This window comes from Homo sapiens, chromosome 5 (genome assembly GCF_000001405.40).
Source record: "Homo sapiens chromosome 5, GRCh38.p14 Primary Assembly".
NCBI classification, from domain to species: Eukaryota; Metazoa; Chordata; class Mammalia; order Primates; family Hominidae; genus Homo; species Homo sapiens.
Window position 1 is genome coordinate 122,976,495 of NC_000005.10, and position 16,881 is coordinate 122,993,375.

Sequence of the window (16,881 nt, forward strand, 5' to 3'; positions counted from 1 at the left end):
AGAAGTACAAGGATGAAAGTCACTCTTCCAGATTGATGCTATTTATTTTTCATTGGCACACAAAAGGTTGCTAGTATCCCCTGGTCAGGTTCTGCCAGCCCTTTACACCAGTAATTGTATTGTTCCATGTCTTTATCAAGGAATCCCTTGCCAGTGAGTTTTTGGGAGGGACAAGTGTCAAGGAAGAGAAGCCACGATGAAGTCCCCGTGATTGAGCAAAGATTACACTGCTGAGGGCATTCTACAAAAACTTGTCAGTTTGCTGCCCAAATAAATGCCTAGAGTGCGTAAAACGCAGAGCACAGTGACCCCAGGAAGAAAAATCAATTGCAATTCATATTTCATATGTCTATGATTGCTTGTGAGAGCATGGCAGCGGTTTGTTTGCAGGGCAGCTTTTCCTCTCCTGTTGTTTCCTTTCTTTTCCCTTTTCTAATGGTATGTCTTTCACATTCTCTGATTTACAGTGGAGCAAAATTTGGATTTTTTTTTTCTTATCCACATTACCATTCTTATTACTGGTGCCCTGTACTGGATTTGGTAGTGCATTGCACTGTAGACAGGCATAGACCATACACTAGGAATGGTTATTTTGCTTTGAGATTCTTGAAGGTGTGGGTTGGTGTACTTTGTTTTCCTTTGAAGTGAAGAAATGGGGTTGTGGAAGAAACCATCTTTTATTCATAGAGTTATTCATTTATTAGGGTTTTAAACATTAAAAGTGAATTTTTACTTGTGGCTGTGGTCTTAAATGCTTTTTCATCGGAACAGGGGACCCATAATACCTGCTAATTTTAAAAATCACCCAATCTATCAACCCTCTCTTGCTCCAACCCACCCCCACCCCTTCCCAATACATACACTTTCTCATAAGAAGCTACTTTTGGATTCGTAGCCCTTCTGTGGACTGAGATGTCATAGGGATAGAGAAAATGCTGCTCACTTTATGGATTACTGTTAGGTCAACAAAACTTTGGCAGCATTGATTAACTTGACAGTGAGTACAGCAGTACATTTATCACTTATGGCTGTGCTGTAGAAAATCTAATAAGAGGCAAACAATTCCCTTTAGAGCAGTAACAGGTTCACTGTGGCTAACGGTGCATGCACTGGAAATTTCTGCCTTTAAATTATACCCTTGCTGCTGGTTGACTCAAAGCTACTGCACTTCTATAGTCATGCTGTTGCTGTTAATTTCATCACAATTATTTGACTTAAATAAGTATTTAAATTGTTAAGAATATATAGTGTTTAAACATCAGAGTAGAGGAATTAGGTATACTTCTAAGATTATGATTTTAAAGTAATAGCTGGAAATAGAGAGTTCTATTGTTTGAGTTCTTATGATGATAGGAATATCACAAGGAAATTACTTCCCACAATCACCATAAAATTTAGCCTGTTTCATAATGGAGAACTTTGGGGAAAATTTTAGTCTCAGCCAAATATTTTGTAAGATATTTGTAATAGTCTTTGATGTGAAATGATATACAAACATTGATAAGAATTTGGTGGAATGTTTCAATTTTTTTTCATATTGAAGATATCCTGGTAAGACTTTTCATACTTATTTTCTTTTCTCCTATATAACAAATAGCATTACTCATTTTCCCCATGTATTATTTAATCTTTAACAATGCACTTTGGTATACATTTGAAAAACTAGGACAAAATATGTTCATTGAATAACACGAATTATATCTAATGTTTAGAGAAGTGTTTACAAGTGTGATAAATTTAGTAGACCAGGGTAAAGAATAACAAGATTAGGTTTTGAACTGTTTTGTAATAGTTATCTGGAAAAGTAAAGAGTATTTGATTAATAAGTAACTCTTGTCACTTTATAGCATACAGAAAATCTGAAAACATGCTAAAACAAAAGCCGTCTTCTCAGGGGCAGTTCTAATTTCACATGGCAGTGTATATTTTTTTCTATCAAACTTCTTGTTAGACTTTCTAGAAAGATACCTAATTTATCTTATTTTTATTCCTGTGCTACCCTAGAATTCACAGTTCAGCTGGAGATATCCAGTTAAAATGGAAAAGTTCCCAGCTTTTTTAGTGTTTTCAGTTTTTCTAGGAAACAGTCTTCAATTGAGGGCTTTTATACAGTAGCATCTGTGAGATGATATAGTTTTCTTTGTTGGGAGAAAGTATTCTGCTTGAATCAATTGTCAAGAGGTTTAATGTAATAAGGCAGCTTGTGGTATGACTGAAAGAAACACAGTGCACAAGAAATTCCCACAGCAGTTTGTTTTTAGAAGAAAAACTGAGTTCACCTGAAACATGAATACATTGAAAACCAAGACTTAATAAGGCAGAGCTGAGAAAGAGCTGAAAAGGTTGCTGTCCAAAGGCCCATGTCAGTGATCTCATCCAATATTTGTCTTTGAAATTCTAAAAGGCATATAAACCAAAATTACTTTTTCTCAGGCTTTGGGAACTACTGCCTTGAATCAGTAACATTCAAGCCTGTTGATGTTACTGTTTTGATTTAATTCAATGAGAATGTATTCTGTGTAATCTACAGGGTAAATGTAATATATCCCTTCTAAAACAGTCTTTTCTGAAAGAGCTACGTCTACCACTCTGGATTTCACAGGTTACAATAGTAGTACCCCCACCATTTGCCCTCATGAACAGAGGCCGGGTATTGATTAACTATCACGCTGGCATCAGAACTACTCTTAGGATTCAATTTTTTTGTTGTTTTGCATATTTTATTGATCAAAGTGGTAAATGAGCATCAAGCGTGCAAGAAGACGATGAATTGTTTACTTGCATAAAATAACCTTTCAATAAGGGAAGATGCATGGCTTACACTTTGGTTCTGTTCTGCGGCCCGAAGCAGATGGCATTCAGCTGCTATTGATTTGCTTCCATAGTTAAGGAGCAGCCTGCAACCCGGCATGCCCACTGCATTGTGAAAAGGGGTGTAGATCTGGGGACCAGGGTGGAAGCCAAGAAGGGCTTATGAGCCCACCCCCAAATCCTAAAGAAAAAAATTTTGTTTGGAAACCGTGCATACCTACTTAAATGAAAACTTGAATTAACATAATTAGATGTGATAGGGCCACTTTATGCCCTGGTGCTTTTAAAGAAAGAACATTTGTGGTCATCACTTATGCAGATGTCTCCAGTGAATAACAAATACAGTAATAATCAGAGAATACTAATTTTAAGCATGTGATATTTGAAGAAAACTAAATAAAACCTCTCCTCCTGCCTTCGGGGTAAAATTAGGTAATCTTTAGATACACCACATAATGCCCACCGTTGAGCATTCTGGCCTTAAATAAAAATGAATATACAAGTTGTGCTGACAGCCCACCTTTCCATGTTTACCAGTTGTGCCATCTCCATTTATTCAGCGGTCCACCCGAATCTTTTGTTAGCAACCACATTTGTTTTTAAAATGACTTTCCTTAATAGGTAGTTGCAGATGTTGAATTTATAAACATTTTCCTTGAAGCTGTGTCCAACAATGACTTTATATCTCAAAAACTAGGATAGGTAGGCTAACCTACCGATTGTGGGTTTTTTCCTTCCTTTTCCACACTCATTAAATATCAAAAGTCCTTTTGTCAAAAACAATATGAAGAAATAGTAAGTATACTTACATCATAAAACATACATTTTATTCAGTAATACACACATTAGTCAAGTTTAGCCAACTTTAATTTTTTGCAATTTTTTTTTGCAATTTATAATTTTAAATATAAGTAACAAAAAATTTATCATGAAGCTGTTTGCCCATAATAGCAGAACTCTGCAGATCTACTTTACTGGGTTCTTCTCACAACCAACCTGTTAGAACAAATAATTGTTTTAAAAGCATTTCAGTAACTGTTATTCCTTATAATGGAAATGTTTTATTGTATGCTATTTTTCTTGTTTGTGGAGGAGAGAGGCAAGTTCACTTTGCTTGATCCCAAGTAAATGTTAGCTTTGTCTCTTCCCAATATCCACTCCTACTCTGGCAATAAAGAGTTTGGGGTTGAAATTTAATTTACTTTCTTCTATAACAAAATGAAGTTGCATTTCATATTTTTGACCTTCTCTTCTTCTAGTAGTAGAAAACTCAACTAATTTCTCAAGGTTTTCACATAAGAGACAGTCTTGACAAGCAGAAGGAGTTTAAGGTGCAAGAGGCACACTTGAAATGCTGGTGTGCTCAGTCGGGTGTGTGCCTTGACTAATTTACTTACTCTGTGCCCCTTCCAGTATCTAGTGTGACAGAGAATACCTACTCCATGCTTTGCCCCTGAAATATGAGCTTTCATTTCCAAGGTGGGAAAAGAGTATTTGGCATCAGCCTTGTCAGACTCAAAAGGAAGTTGAAAAGAAAGAAGACCTTCACTCTACAGGTTGCTGTTGGTGGAAGACCAGTTCAAGTATGGGAACAGAGAGCCATTGCCTCTGAAATTGCCGGTGCTCATGCTTTGTCCCATACAAATGAGAGCTGTGTCCATGAGGTCAAAGGGAATCCGTAAGCTTAAAGTGCAGATGATATCGTGGGGAATATACTTGAATACTTCTAAACCAAGCTCCCAGCACTCCATTTGCATGCCAAAGTATTGATTGTGAAAATATTAAAGCAAAATTATTAAGGTTAGAACTTGTCTTAATTCATGCAAAACATATGTTATTTGTGCCAATTTAGTATGTTTTTAGTAGATAAGTAGTATTTCTACCCTGACATAAAATTAGATATATTTAAAGTGGTATGCTTAATTAGCTTTTCATCAGAAAAAGTCCTCCCCATTCTCTTGACAACACCCTACACTGAGTATTAGCCATATTTAACAGTCTTTTGGCTGACCCAGGAAAAATTTGGTCAGCATCTTCTAGTATTTAGCCAAATCCTCTGACAACTTGACTCTTAAATATCAGCAATAGGAGAGTGAGAAGATGAAAAAGATGTACTTTTAAAAAGGTTTTACTGAGGTATAATTTACATAGCATAAAATGCACATATTATAAGTATACCATTAAATCATTTTTAGGAAATTTACAGAGTTGTGTGACCATCAGTACAATATAGTTTTAGAGTATTTATAACAGCCTCAATATTTGCCTCATGCCCATAGAATCTACTTTTTTTGTCTGTACAGTTTAAGAAATTTCCATTATAAACTTGAGATTTAAAAAATCAAATACATGTTTTGTTTTGTTTTTGTTTGTTTGTTTGTTTGTTTTTTGAGACGCAGTCTCGCTCTGTCTCCCAGGCTGGAGTGCAGTGGCACGATCTCTGCTCACTGCAACCTCTGCCTCCCGGGCTCAAGTGATTCTCCCGCCTCAGCCTCACAAGTAGCTGGGATTAAAAGTGGTAGTGCCTTCCTTTTCTTATCCATTAGTCTTTGACTCTACTCACTCATCCATTTCAGGTTTGGAAGGTGGCTTGTCCTTGGAATATAGACCACCTTGGAAGGTTATGGCTATATCTTAAAATGTGGATTTTGGAACCTGCCCTTCCAGATAGTCAAGAGAAAAAGATAGAAGGCAGGAAGCGGAAGAGAGTAATGTAACGTTCATTCTGTTTGTGCCTTTGTCATTTCCTTTGGCACACACATTTGTTTTCCAGGGAAGAATGACTGGTAGATAATAGAAGCCTTTTCTGTATTAATTTTGTCCCTGATTCCCTGTAGTAGTGAATGCTAGGGGGAAAAGGAAGGAGAACCTCAATTTCTTGAGCATCTCCTATGTCAAGGGCATGCCAGTGCTTCCTGTGTGGACTTGAGTTAAACTGAAGGAGCTGTTGTATCATATTCCACTGCTATTTATTCAGCCTCTGTTTTGAGCAGTTCTTTGAACACATGTTTAATCATATTCTGCATTTAGCATGTAAAATGTATTTTGTGACAAATTAAACTACTTTTTATATTACAGAATTTAGAATTATAATCAACTTAATTATTTGTGCTACTGGAAAAAAATGGGACCTATGGGTAATCTAAAATGAAAACTGATATAAAAAGCATTTTTTATGAAATGAAATTTTGTAGTTATCAGAATATAGGGCATGCTGTCAACAAATTAGGAGAAAGATGCCAATGTTCAGTAGATATTGAGAAAGCTACTGTGGCAGCTGCCCAGCACAGAACAAGTTGTTAACACATAATGCCTTTGAGGAATTTAGGTTGGCCTTTTAGATACCTAAACAGATTATTACAATGTAATATGTGTGTTTGAAAGAAATATGTACAGTGATACAGTTACTAAAGGGGGAGGGGTTTGCTTTGCTTTGTAGGTGGCTCAAAGAATTTACTTTGCTTTCAGCGAAGTCCTTTAGTAGAATAAAAACTGACATTAAATTTAAAAGAATAATAAAAATTAAGTCTGTCCATAGATTTTCTTGTATTATCTATAATGGATAATACATTAAATATTGTGTAGGCATTGGATATTTTATTTGAAAAAATATTAACTCTTTTTTAAAAAACATTTGAATAGTATTAATAGTATTAGTACTGGTAATAATAATGCAGGCTATCCGTAGTTATTGATCTGCTTCTCCAAATAGAATTTTGAATATCTGCTTCTAAAACACACCTAATTCACCAAGAAACTGAGGAAATAAGACCACTGGTGCTATTTTTCAGTAAGTAATATTTTATTCTCAATAGTTAAGTGAATAATTATATAATTAGTCCCAAAGATGGAAGTAAATGAGACATATTCTCAAGTGAGATTTTTCAGCCTTTTTTTTTTTTGCAAGTGCAACAATTTAGATTGTATTTTGATTATTCTTTCCTTCTATTCCTTCCTTTTTTCTCTTAAATGGAATATAATTTAAATTTTGCATATTCTTATTTACTTTTGCATAACTAAAAGGCACCTTATAATTTCTCTTCTCTTTTGTTCTTTCTCTGTCTTAAGACACTTAGAACCTGTGATTTTTAAGCATTTTTGAATATTTACCTATACCATATACCATCTGCATAAAATATAAACCATTTACCTTAGACTCTGTTTATCTCAAAATCAACTCCATTGGAGTCACTGATGAGAGCAGACTTAGCCAGGACTCAGAGTTAGCTTTCAGTGTTAGAATGACTGGCTATTCAGACTTTATCAAAATCCTTCACATATAACCAACAAAGTAGTGAAAAATTTTTGTTGTTGTTGAAACAGGGTCTCATCTTGTTGCCCTGGCTGGAGTGCAGTGGCAAGATCATAGCTCACTGTAGCCTTGACCTCCTAGGCTCAAGCAATCCTCCCGCCTTAGCTACCTGAGTAGGTGGGGACTACAGGCGTGTGCAACCATGCCCTGTTAATTTTTAAAAAAATTTGTAGAGATGAGGTCTCACTATGTGTTTCCCAGACAATGAGCAAATATTTTAAAACTATGACTGTATTGCTTCTATTTATATTTAGAGTGAAGTTGGTATGTTTGAAAAGGTGTACTTTTAGGTTTGCTAAATATTCATATTATTGTGATAGTCATCAGATTACTAACAGAAGGCCACTAAAGAATAATTGATATTTGTTGCTTTACTGTAACATCAGCATCAATGTTTTTTTCCAGAGTAATCATTAGTATTAATTAGTGAAGAAATGCCTATTCTATCAAAACTGGGTTTACTGATGGAGAGTTCAGTCACAGACACAGATCCATCACTCTTCTCTCTGTAGCTTGCTCCCCTCTTATGTGCCATATGATCATCACAGCAATCTGTTGGAAGCTGTAACTTGAATAGCAGATTTTTTCCCTGAAAATATGATTAGCTAACATGTTATGTAATTAAAAGTATGTAGGCATTTCAGACTGTATTCTTAGAATAGCTACAATACAGAAAAAAAAAATCCACTGCATTTTATACTTTTAAACTTCAATCTATCAGATTGATCCTTCTTTTTTCTTTACATAAATGACACAGTTAATGGAGCAAAGGATGTCTAAGCTTAAAGAAGCTCCTAAAAAATGAGAGCATTAACCCCAACTGCACTGAATTCCCTGAACGTCTTGTACTCTCCTGCTCAAACTTGAAGTGGGCATCTGCTGTTTAATGTAATTAGTTTCAAAGAGAATGTCAATCAGCCCTCAGGAGTTTACTCTGACCCAAAAACCCTCATAAGGAAATATCAGTGAGACAAAACAAGAAAAGTTATCGCAGTTGGGAAGCTTCTTCTCACTGCATTATTTGAAGTTATGCTTTAACAGAGTTCAGGTTGCTGTCTGACTCAGTTATATTCCAGTTGCAAAATTGTACTCAAGACAGATTGCTTTAGTGAGTAGCTATTTTCCTCTATTAGAAATGAAGACGTAGTGGACTGTGTAAAAAAAGTCAGGAAATGTTTGCAATTTTGACATGAGTTTTTAGCACTTATTAGGATAATAGGATTTAAAAACTAAAGACAAATTAACCTAATTTTTAGCCTGCTTTTTTCCTTATGCATTAAAAAGTTTAGTGAACAAATGAAAAAACGAAAAAGAAAAAAAGGTATAGTGAACAAGCTGTTTTTAGTTTCTCTTTTTTGTCCTTATTGAAGTTGAGATTGTAATGAGCCATAATAAAGAGGTCAGAGAGGGACTTCTTTGGGTAGCAGAGTCCATTTGATACAAAGCGAGAGCATTACTGTTCTGTTTGGATTATTTTTCCCAAGATTTAGATGAACAATGGCTTATTTTGTGGTAACTTATAACCATATCATCTCATGTCATGACCGTGTTTATTTATTTCCCTGTGGCATCCTCCTTGGTTGAGTCTTATGTACATAGTCAGCCACAGCATGACCTTTCACCAGAGCTTGAGAGAGGCACTGTGGATCCTGCCCTGGGCCAGAGGATGAGGGGGAACAGCTGACCATTGAAGGACCAGAAGGTGGTGAGAGAAGGACTCTTAGGAGCACTTCAGGGAGAGTTCAAGACCTGGATTCTCAACTCTCCTGCCCAAAAAGACACAGAGATTGTCCACTTGGTGGATCTGGGCTTGGTTTATTAGGAAGAAATGCAAGTCATTTAACTTCTCAGAGTCAGTTTTTCCATCTGTAAAGTGCTCTTGAGCTTATCTACCTCAAAGGTAGTTGAGAGGATTAAGCGACCCATTATATGTGAGGCCACTTAGCAAGCCATAAAACGTTATGAAGATATTAGATGTTATTATTGTTTCCTCAGCAAATCCCTTGCTTAATTTCCTATCAGTCTCTAAGTTCTTGCTTCAGCATTCATGTGAACTGGGCCTCCAGCTGCTTTGGGTCAGACACTTGTTGCGGTGGCATCTATTGCCTTCCAAAGCAGAGCATTCCATGAGGAGACTTCAGCATAAAGTTTCTCTTTATACTAAGCCAAAGTTCGCTTTCTCACTATTTAACCTTTCTTGGCCCTGATTCTGCCTCTGGAACAACCCTCATGCGTTCAGAGCCCTTTCTTTGCTGCAGAGATACAGTGATGATGAGGCGGACTCAGCCCTGCCCTCTTGGAGCTGGAGTCCAGTGGACAGAAGCCAAGTAAACCTATCAAGGAAATAATTGCTAGCACTCTGAAGGAAACAAATAAGGGAGCAAGAAAGAGGTTATCAGAGAGTAAGAATGAGTGGAAGAGGAGCTCCAGAGGATGCTGTGATAGCCTGGTTGTCAGAGGTGAGAGAAAGGAAGCAGATGGGTGGATGTGGCTATCATTGGCAGAGATGAGGAAAGTGGACAGTGATGGGTCATAGAGAGGCAGGGTTTTTTATTGTTGTTCAAAGAAATACTGAGTTCTGCTTTGGACATTTTGAATTGCAGATGTCTGTAAGAAATTCAAGTGGAGATGTTAAATAGGTATTTAGTTTTGATGAGTCTGGATCCCAGACAAGAAGTCTAGCCTGGAGATGTGAATTTTCACCTCATCAGCCTTAAGGTTTTAAAATCCATGGCAGTTAGTGGACTTAGGGAGAGGATGCTGGCTAAGCCTTGAAAAGTCCCAACATTTTGAGTTCAGATAGAAAAGGAAGAGGCTACAAAGGAGAGTGAGAATGTGATCTGAAACAAACCCAAAGAGTCACAGAAAAAAGAGAAGTGGGAGGGTGGTTTTCAGGGTGAGTGGTGACTGCTCAGAAGCTGAGTAAAGTGAGGTTAGAAGTGATTTAGCAACTCAAAAGCAACCTGTGGCCATGGCAAGCTGAGGATGGTGGAAGCCGAAGCCAATTTGCAGAGCATGAAAGAGTGAATGAACTGGAGATAAGAAAGGGAAACAGCATCGGTTGAACACTCTTGAAAACTTTTGCCATGAAGAGCAGAGAAATGGGCTATAGCCTCTAAGGGATTTTTTTTTTCCTGTTGTTTTATAGTGAGAGTGCATGTTTATGTGCTGATAGGAATGATTCAGCAGAGATGGAAAGGTGAAGAGACAGATAGGTAAATGCATGGGTGGGTGGGTGGGTGGGTGGATGGATGGATGGATGGAGGGATGGATGGGACTAGTGAATAACTAGGAGAAAGAAGAGCAAAATAACTAAAGAAATGAATATTTGAGAAAGTCAAGGAGTGGATTGAGAGCCAGAGCAGAGATATAGGAATTGGCTTCTGATGGAAGGAGGGACGTTTTCTCCGCTATAGCAGGAGGAGGAGAAGATCGATGGAAGTGCAGTATAGGTAGAGTTGTTGGGATAAAGATGAGGAGGATCAAGCCAGGTGGCTTCTGCATTCTCTGAAGTGTGAAGCGTGGTTATCAGCTGGGAGAGAGGGTGGAGGAAGGGATGAGGGAGATAAAAGGAGAAGAGGATAAGTTTTGAAAATGGGTAAAGGCTGATTCTTCTAGAGCAATAGTTTTCGAGTGTGGTTCCTGGATCAGTAGCTTCGGCATCACCTAGAAACTTGGTAACTTATTTGAAATGAAAATTCTTAGGCCCCACCCAAGACCAGCTAGATCAGAAACTCTCTGGGTTGGACCAAGCAAACTGTTTTAACAAGCCCTCTAGGCGATTCTGATTAGTTTGAGAACTACTGTTCTAGAGAAAAGTAACAAGATTTCTGGACAATATTTTGAGGATAAGAGCTTAAATTTAAAGTGAAACCAGTCTTTTTTGTATTCTGTGATTTTTCTCAGTGTTTAGCAGCTTGGGTAGAGGCATGAATGAGAGATTGCTGGGATTCAGCCAGAACTGAGCTGTCCCGAGTACAGCAGAGGGAGAGAGGCTGATGGGTTTGGAGGTGGTTCAGGGGACTGATTCTGATGGTAGATCACAGCTCCTTAAGCTGGACAAGAGGGCAGAAAATTTAGAGGGGGCTAATGGGAGTCAGAAAGTACTGGGTCAGTAGATTGGAAGTCTCGCCAATAGTAGCGGGGCAACACCATTGCACAGAAGGCCTTTATTGGAACTTATTGGCCCACAGAGATAGTGCTTTTTGAGATCTGAATAAATGAGTTTGCATACCAAGTCTATAGAACAAATACTTTCTTTGGCCTGTGTGCATGCATTAAGGGGCTAGGAAGTTACAACACAAGTGGATTACATATAAAATACAAGCTTTTTAAAGAGAAGTTAATCATAATGTAAATAAAACCATGTAAGAAAATGTTCTCTTTCTTTAAATTATTCAGGAAAAAGGAGCATGCCTGTCAGGTGTTCCCAGGTACTTCCCTGCCCCCCTTTCCAGGACACGGTTGGAACAGACTGAGGTGAGGGTGGTTGAGTAGACCACTGCCTGGTACAGTTTGTCTGGCCAACTAGAGTGGTTAAATAGGCCTGACAAGCTATCTAGGTTGTTGGTTTATCTGTTGTTTTTAGGAGTACCTTTGTGTCTCCTGAGCTTCTGCCCAGCCCCAGTGATGTCTGGCTCCTTAGTCGGGGGTGTACTAGGGATAACCATAGGCAGGGAGGAGAAGTGAATTCAAAAACTTGATCCTGAGATACCAGAGGCACATCGTCCAGCTTTTTATTTTTTAATTAAATTAGTATATCTCCCTCAAACTCAGCTAAGAACTTCAAGATAGGAAACGTTTGCTCAAAGATGTATGTAGACATTTTAACTTGCTAGAATATTAGTGTAAATTCTTGCTATCCCCCTTTAATTGCTCTTAATGGAAGGCTGTTAAATCATCATAAAATTTGTGATTAAAAAGACCTATTAAAGTAGAATTGTATTTTTTTTCCACCAGCCAATGCTAAATTATTCCCTGTGGCTCATTCTACAATGGTTTGGCCATTTCTTTTGTAAAGTAAGTTTAACAAAACACTCCATTTCCATAGGGATACAGTCTATGATTTGTTTAAAAGACCAAATTTGGGAGGATATTTTTCTAGATAATCAGCTTACATTTTTCTTTGTTTAGGTTCATCTCATTACCTATATTCTTGATTTCTTTACTGTCCTGTAATGGGTGTTCTTGGCACCTGCTGAGTTAGGTTTACAAACTTTTTATGTATTAGGCCTTTTCTTTTTATAGACTGTGCATGAACCTAATTGCTTTTTTATTTTTCATATGCTATTATTTGTGTTATGGACTTTTTTAAAGTAGTAAATTAAAAATAGCATATCAACGTTATTTTTTCTTTTTTCCCCTAAGTGTTCTACCCAGTACTAAAGCAGTAAATTAAAAATAGAATATCAGAATTTCTTTTTCTTTTCTCTTTCTCTCTCTTTTTATAGCAATCATGCTACTTAGTATTCTGTTCTATGGGCCAAAAACAGGACTTTACAATCTGCAGAAGCATGAGGGCTCTATCAGTATGGGTTTATGTGTTCTACCATAGATAAAAAGCCAAATCCAAGGACTTAACTAAAAGTGAGTTTTAACCTTAAGCACTCAGAAGGAAAGTGGTAGGTAGTTGTGGGTTTTGGCTCACTGGCTCAAGATTATCAGGGATTGCATTTCCTTGATTCTTTTGGCCTTTTCCTCATAATTATAAGATGACAACTAAGCTCAAAGACCATGCCCATATTCTAGCCAAGAGGAAGGAGGAAAGGGGTGGAGAAATGAGCAAAAAGATGGGGGCCACTGCAGCCTGACCAGTCACTTTAAGGAAGCTTTTTGACTTTTCCCATCCAGTCACTTCTTCTGACATTTTGTTGGCTAGATCTGTGTCACATGCTAAGGGACCGGGTGGGGGGGCGGGGGCAGGTGTTATTGGGAAATGTTGGGGAAGAGTAGGGCAGGGTATATTATTTTCATTAGTTTTTGATATTGCTCTTTGTTATTTTTAGCTTGGCAGCTTGCCACATACCCCAAGAAAATTGGTATTCCATTAGTAAAGAAGAAGGGAAGACTGGATCTTGCATAGATGCAAAAAGACTGGTGTAATCTGGAAAACTCCCAGAAAAGGGTATATTCATTCTTGTGTATAGGTCCCTGAACAAATGTCTGTAATTTAACTCCCAAGTTATAGAAGGATTCATTTCAATGTTAGATTTGGGAGAAGGGCTAGGGTACATATGTTTTTCTTTCCCTGAACTCAGAGAACAGGTTCCAGCTTGGACCCCCTGTGTAGTCCTTACCAGCCATGTGTAGACAGCCCTAATTTCTCATCTTTCTTGCTATTGTGTTCTGTCCCAGTAGGCTACTATTCCTACCTGTGTATTTTAGTGAACAACTTCATTGACTGTTTTTTGTTGTTGTTGCAGCCAAGAGGCCAAGCCCCTCCTCCTAACTTTCTTTATAGATATGTTTTTTATTTTATAGCCTATGAGCCATCTCCACAAGGGCCACTTTTCATACATTGTTTCTCTGAGGACTAGCTACACATCTTATAAGTCTGTTGTCACACTCTCTAACCATTTCCCACTATTTTCCCACTAAGTACTGTGCACTTTGAAGTTTGCTCATTGAGGGTTCCTAAATTCATGTAAAGCATCAATTACATTACTGTAGCATTTAAACAGGTGACTAAATATATTGTTATAACCGAACAAATATAAAATGGTGTTGGAAGTCTTCATTTAAAAAAATGATGTTAGCCTAGTATACTATGTCTAAACTATAGTACAGTAAGAATATATATACCTAGAAAGTCCTCATCTATCTAGACTATACCACTTGAAATCCAGCTGTGCTGGAGCTGGGTCAAAGTGTACAGTATGTAAAGAAAGAGAATGCTGAATAAACTAGGTAGTTGGGGGAATGTTTAAGGGGCCTGAGAGAGCAAATTGCTTTAAAGCACCGTAAACACTTTAAAAACATCAATTCATCAACACATATGGGCTGTGCTAATTGTAAATCTTTTATTAAAAACCAGTCTCCTAAGGCTGTCTGTAGGGAACATTTTATAAGCCTAGTTCTGATTACTGTTTCTTCTATAAAGTAGTAAAACAGCATTTCCATTCTATTGTTTGTATTTAACTAAATGCCTTACCATATTATTTGAATTATTAAATCTGTTTTGGTTCGCTTGTTGTAAAACACTAATATTAAATACCGTAGTCTCCTGATCTTAGGTTTCTCTTACAGGTACGTAGCTAGTTTATAATTGTATGTATGTATGTATATATTTATGTATTTATTGTTGAGACAGAGTCTCATTCTGTTGTCTGGAGTGCAGTGGCCCTATCTTGGCTTACTGCAGCCTCTGCCTCCTAAGTTCAAGCAATTCTCCTGTCTCGGCCTTCCATGTAGCTAGGATTACAGGTGCCCACCACCACACCCGACTAATTTTTGTATTTTTGGTAGAGACAGAGTTTCACCATGTTGACCAGGCTGGTCTCAAGCTCCTGACCTCAAGTGATCCACCCACTGCAGCCTCCCAAAGTGCTGGGATTACAGGTGTGAGCCACCGTGCCCAGCCTATGATTGTTTTTAAAATTTATTTGGATTTTTTTTTTCCATCATCCAGAAAATGCCTCTTAAATCCTGGCATTATCTATTATGTGTAATTGAAGTGCATTTTTATTCAATACACAGGTAATTTAAGTGGATCAAATATGTATAATATGTGACTTTAAAGTAATTGTACCCAGTTATTTGCTGAAAAGAATTGAGCTGTTCAGAAGTTGTCAAACAGGTTTTGAAATGTTATGAGTCCAGATCCTTTTGTTTTTTGTTTTGTTTAGTTTTGTTCCATTTTTTGAGACAGAGTCTCGCTCTGTCGCCCAGGCTGGAGTGCATTGATGCCATCTTGGCTTACTGCAACCTCTGCCTCCCAGTTTCAAGTGATTCTTGTGCCTCAGCCTCCCGAGTAGTTGGGATCACAGGCACGTGCCACCTCACCCAGCTAATTTTTTGTATTTTTAGTAGAGATGGGGCTTCTCCATGTTGGCCAGGCTGGTCCAGAACTCCTGCCCTCAAGTGATCCACCCGCCTTGGCCTCCCAAAGTTCTGGGATTATAGGTGTGAGCCCCTGCACCCAGTCGTTTTGTTGTTGTTGTTGTTGTTGTTTTAATAGAAAGATTAATGGAATGTGTTGCCTTTCTTAGTCTGAAAGTCTTTATATATTTGTAAGAATTAGTTGAGATGTTAAGATAAAATCCAAGGAAAATCAAGAATGTGTTTTAATTGAACCAATTTCAATGGCTCCCTTAAATATATCTGTGGAATAAATTAAGTTTATAAATATAATAGAAAAATATTGGGAAAGATAAAATATTCCAATAAAATTAAATAAGAAAAGAATTAAACTATGTAGCATAGTGCTATTATGCATGCAGTAAATGTCAGTAAATATTTGGGGAATGAATGAATGAATGACGCTGAAATGATACATAATTCGAACAGTAGTTTTGAAGCTAGAGACACCTAATATGAAATGAAACATATAGTCATTAAAATTAGCTCAATGAGTTAGTTAAGAAGCAGTTTAGAGATAGCCAAAGAGAGGATTTAATGCGTGGTCCCTGGATCTGATGAACACTACTACATATGTTGTAGTTGTAGTCAAAATACAAATCAGATTGTGTCATGTACAGTGAGATACCCCATCTACCACCCACCCACATAAGATCACTCAATGACTCCCAAGTCTACAGAGAAAAGAAAAAAATCCTTCACATGATCCAGAAGCCCTTCCTAACCTCTCCAGGTTAGGTGCCCCCATTGCTTAGCTTTATTATTTTCTGTGACCTTCCTTAAGGGTTTTTTTAATGTCATGCTTCTACTTTCCACAGGCCTTTGAACAAGCTGGAATATCCTACTCACATTATTCTCATTAGCTAATTCAACTCCCAGCTCAAGGGTCACTTCCCCAGGGAAGCTTTCCTTCACCCTACAGGTTAATAGGGGTGCTTTGTTACTAATGATCAAGGAAACTAGCTACTCCCCTTTAAGGTACTAATTCAGTTTGTAATTTCACATTCATTGCTGTGAATCAGCATTCATCTTTCCTACCCAATGGTAAACCCTGGGAGGACAGGACTATATTTGTTGGGCTAACCATTGTGTCCCCAGCATAATGCTTGTAGTTAGTAGGTGCTAAACAAATACTTCTATATGATTGGATTCCAGAAAAACACAGAATGTAAGCTTTGATATTAAAATAGCTCCAAAGACTATTGATTTTCCAATTTCTTTTGTTCCCTGGTTAGTTTTTCCTTTTAGCCACATTATCAGAAATGTATTCCTTTTTTTTTTTTTCAAATCTTCTTAAGCCAAATTATATTATTTCTTTGCACAGATTCATTATTATTTTAAATGGGCCCTTTTCGGCATTCAGCGTTTAGTGCAGGTCCTCAGATTTCTTGCAAGATACTCTATAAAGCCCTGTGAAACCATAGCAGATATCCATTTGAATTCCTTGAGTAGTGCAGTTTTTACCAAGGCACAGGCTAGACACATCTTGCAAATGGTGTCACACACAAAAAGGGGGATGCATGGTACAATGGGTTCTTCAGAGCACATCTGATTTTTATTTTTCAGGTGGTCAGGATCCTTCTTAAATCTGTTTAGTGGCTGCCTTTTTTTTTTTTTTTTTTTGAGACAGAGTCTTGCTCTGTTGCCCAGGCTGGGGTGCAGTGGCGCGATCTCGGCTCACT

General features: G+C 37.5%; 1 protein-coding gene across 10 annotated transcripts in view, besides 1 other annotated feature; it reads left to right on the forward strand.

Moving 5' to 3' along the window:
- The window catches only part of SNX24 (sorting nexin 24), a 183,706-nt gene that overhangs the window by 130,882 nt on the left and 35,943 nt on the right, over positions 1 to 16,881 (forward strand). For 2 of the 10 annotated variants that reach the window (XM_011543352.2, XM_017009396.2), the window contains exon 5: positions 6,524 to 6,601. The exons of the other annotated variants lie outside the window; for them this stretch is intronic. In XM_011543352.2, coding sequence (XP_011541654.1) covers positions 6,524 to 6,556 — 33 coding nt within the window. In that variant the 3' untranslated portion in view covers positions 6,557 to 6,601. The remainder of the gene's footprint in view (positions 1 to 6,523; positions 6,602 to 16,881) is intronic. 10 annotated transcript variants of the gene reach the window in all.
- Positions 10,099 to 10,168: an enhancer, noted in NCBI's record as "active region_23002". NCBI's record gives its function as "activates an Ori minimal core promoter by ATAC-STARR-seq in GM12878 lymphoblastoid cells {active_cell/tissue: GM12878}" and the evidence as "EXISTENCE:reporter gene assay evidence [ECO:0000049][PMID:35858748]".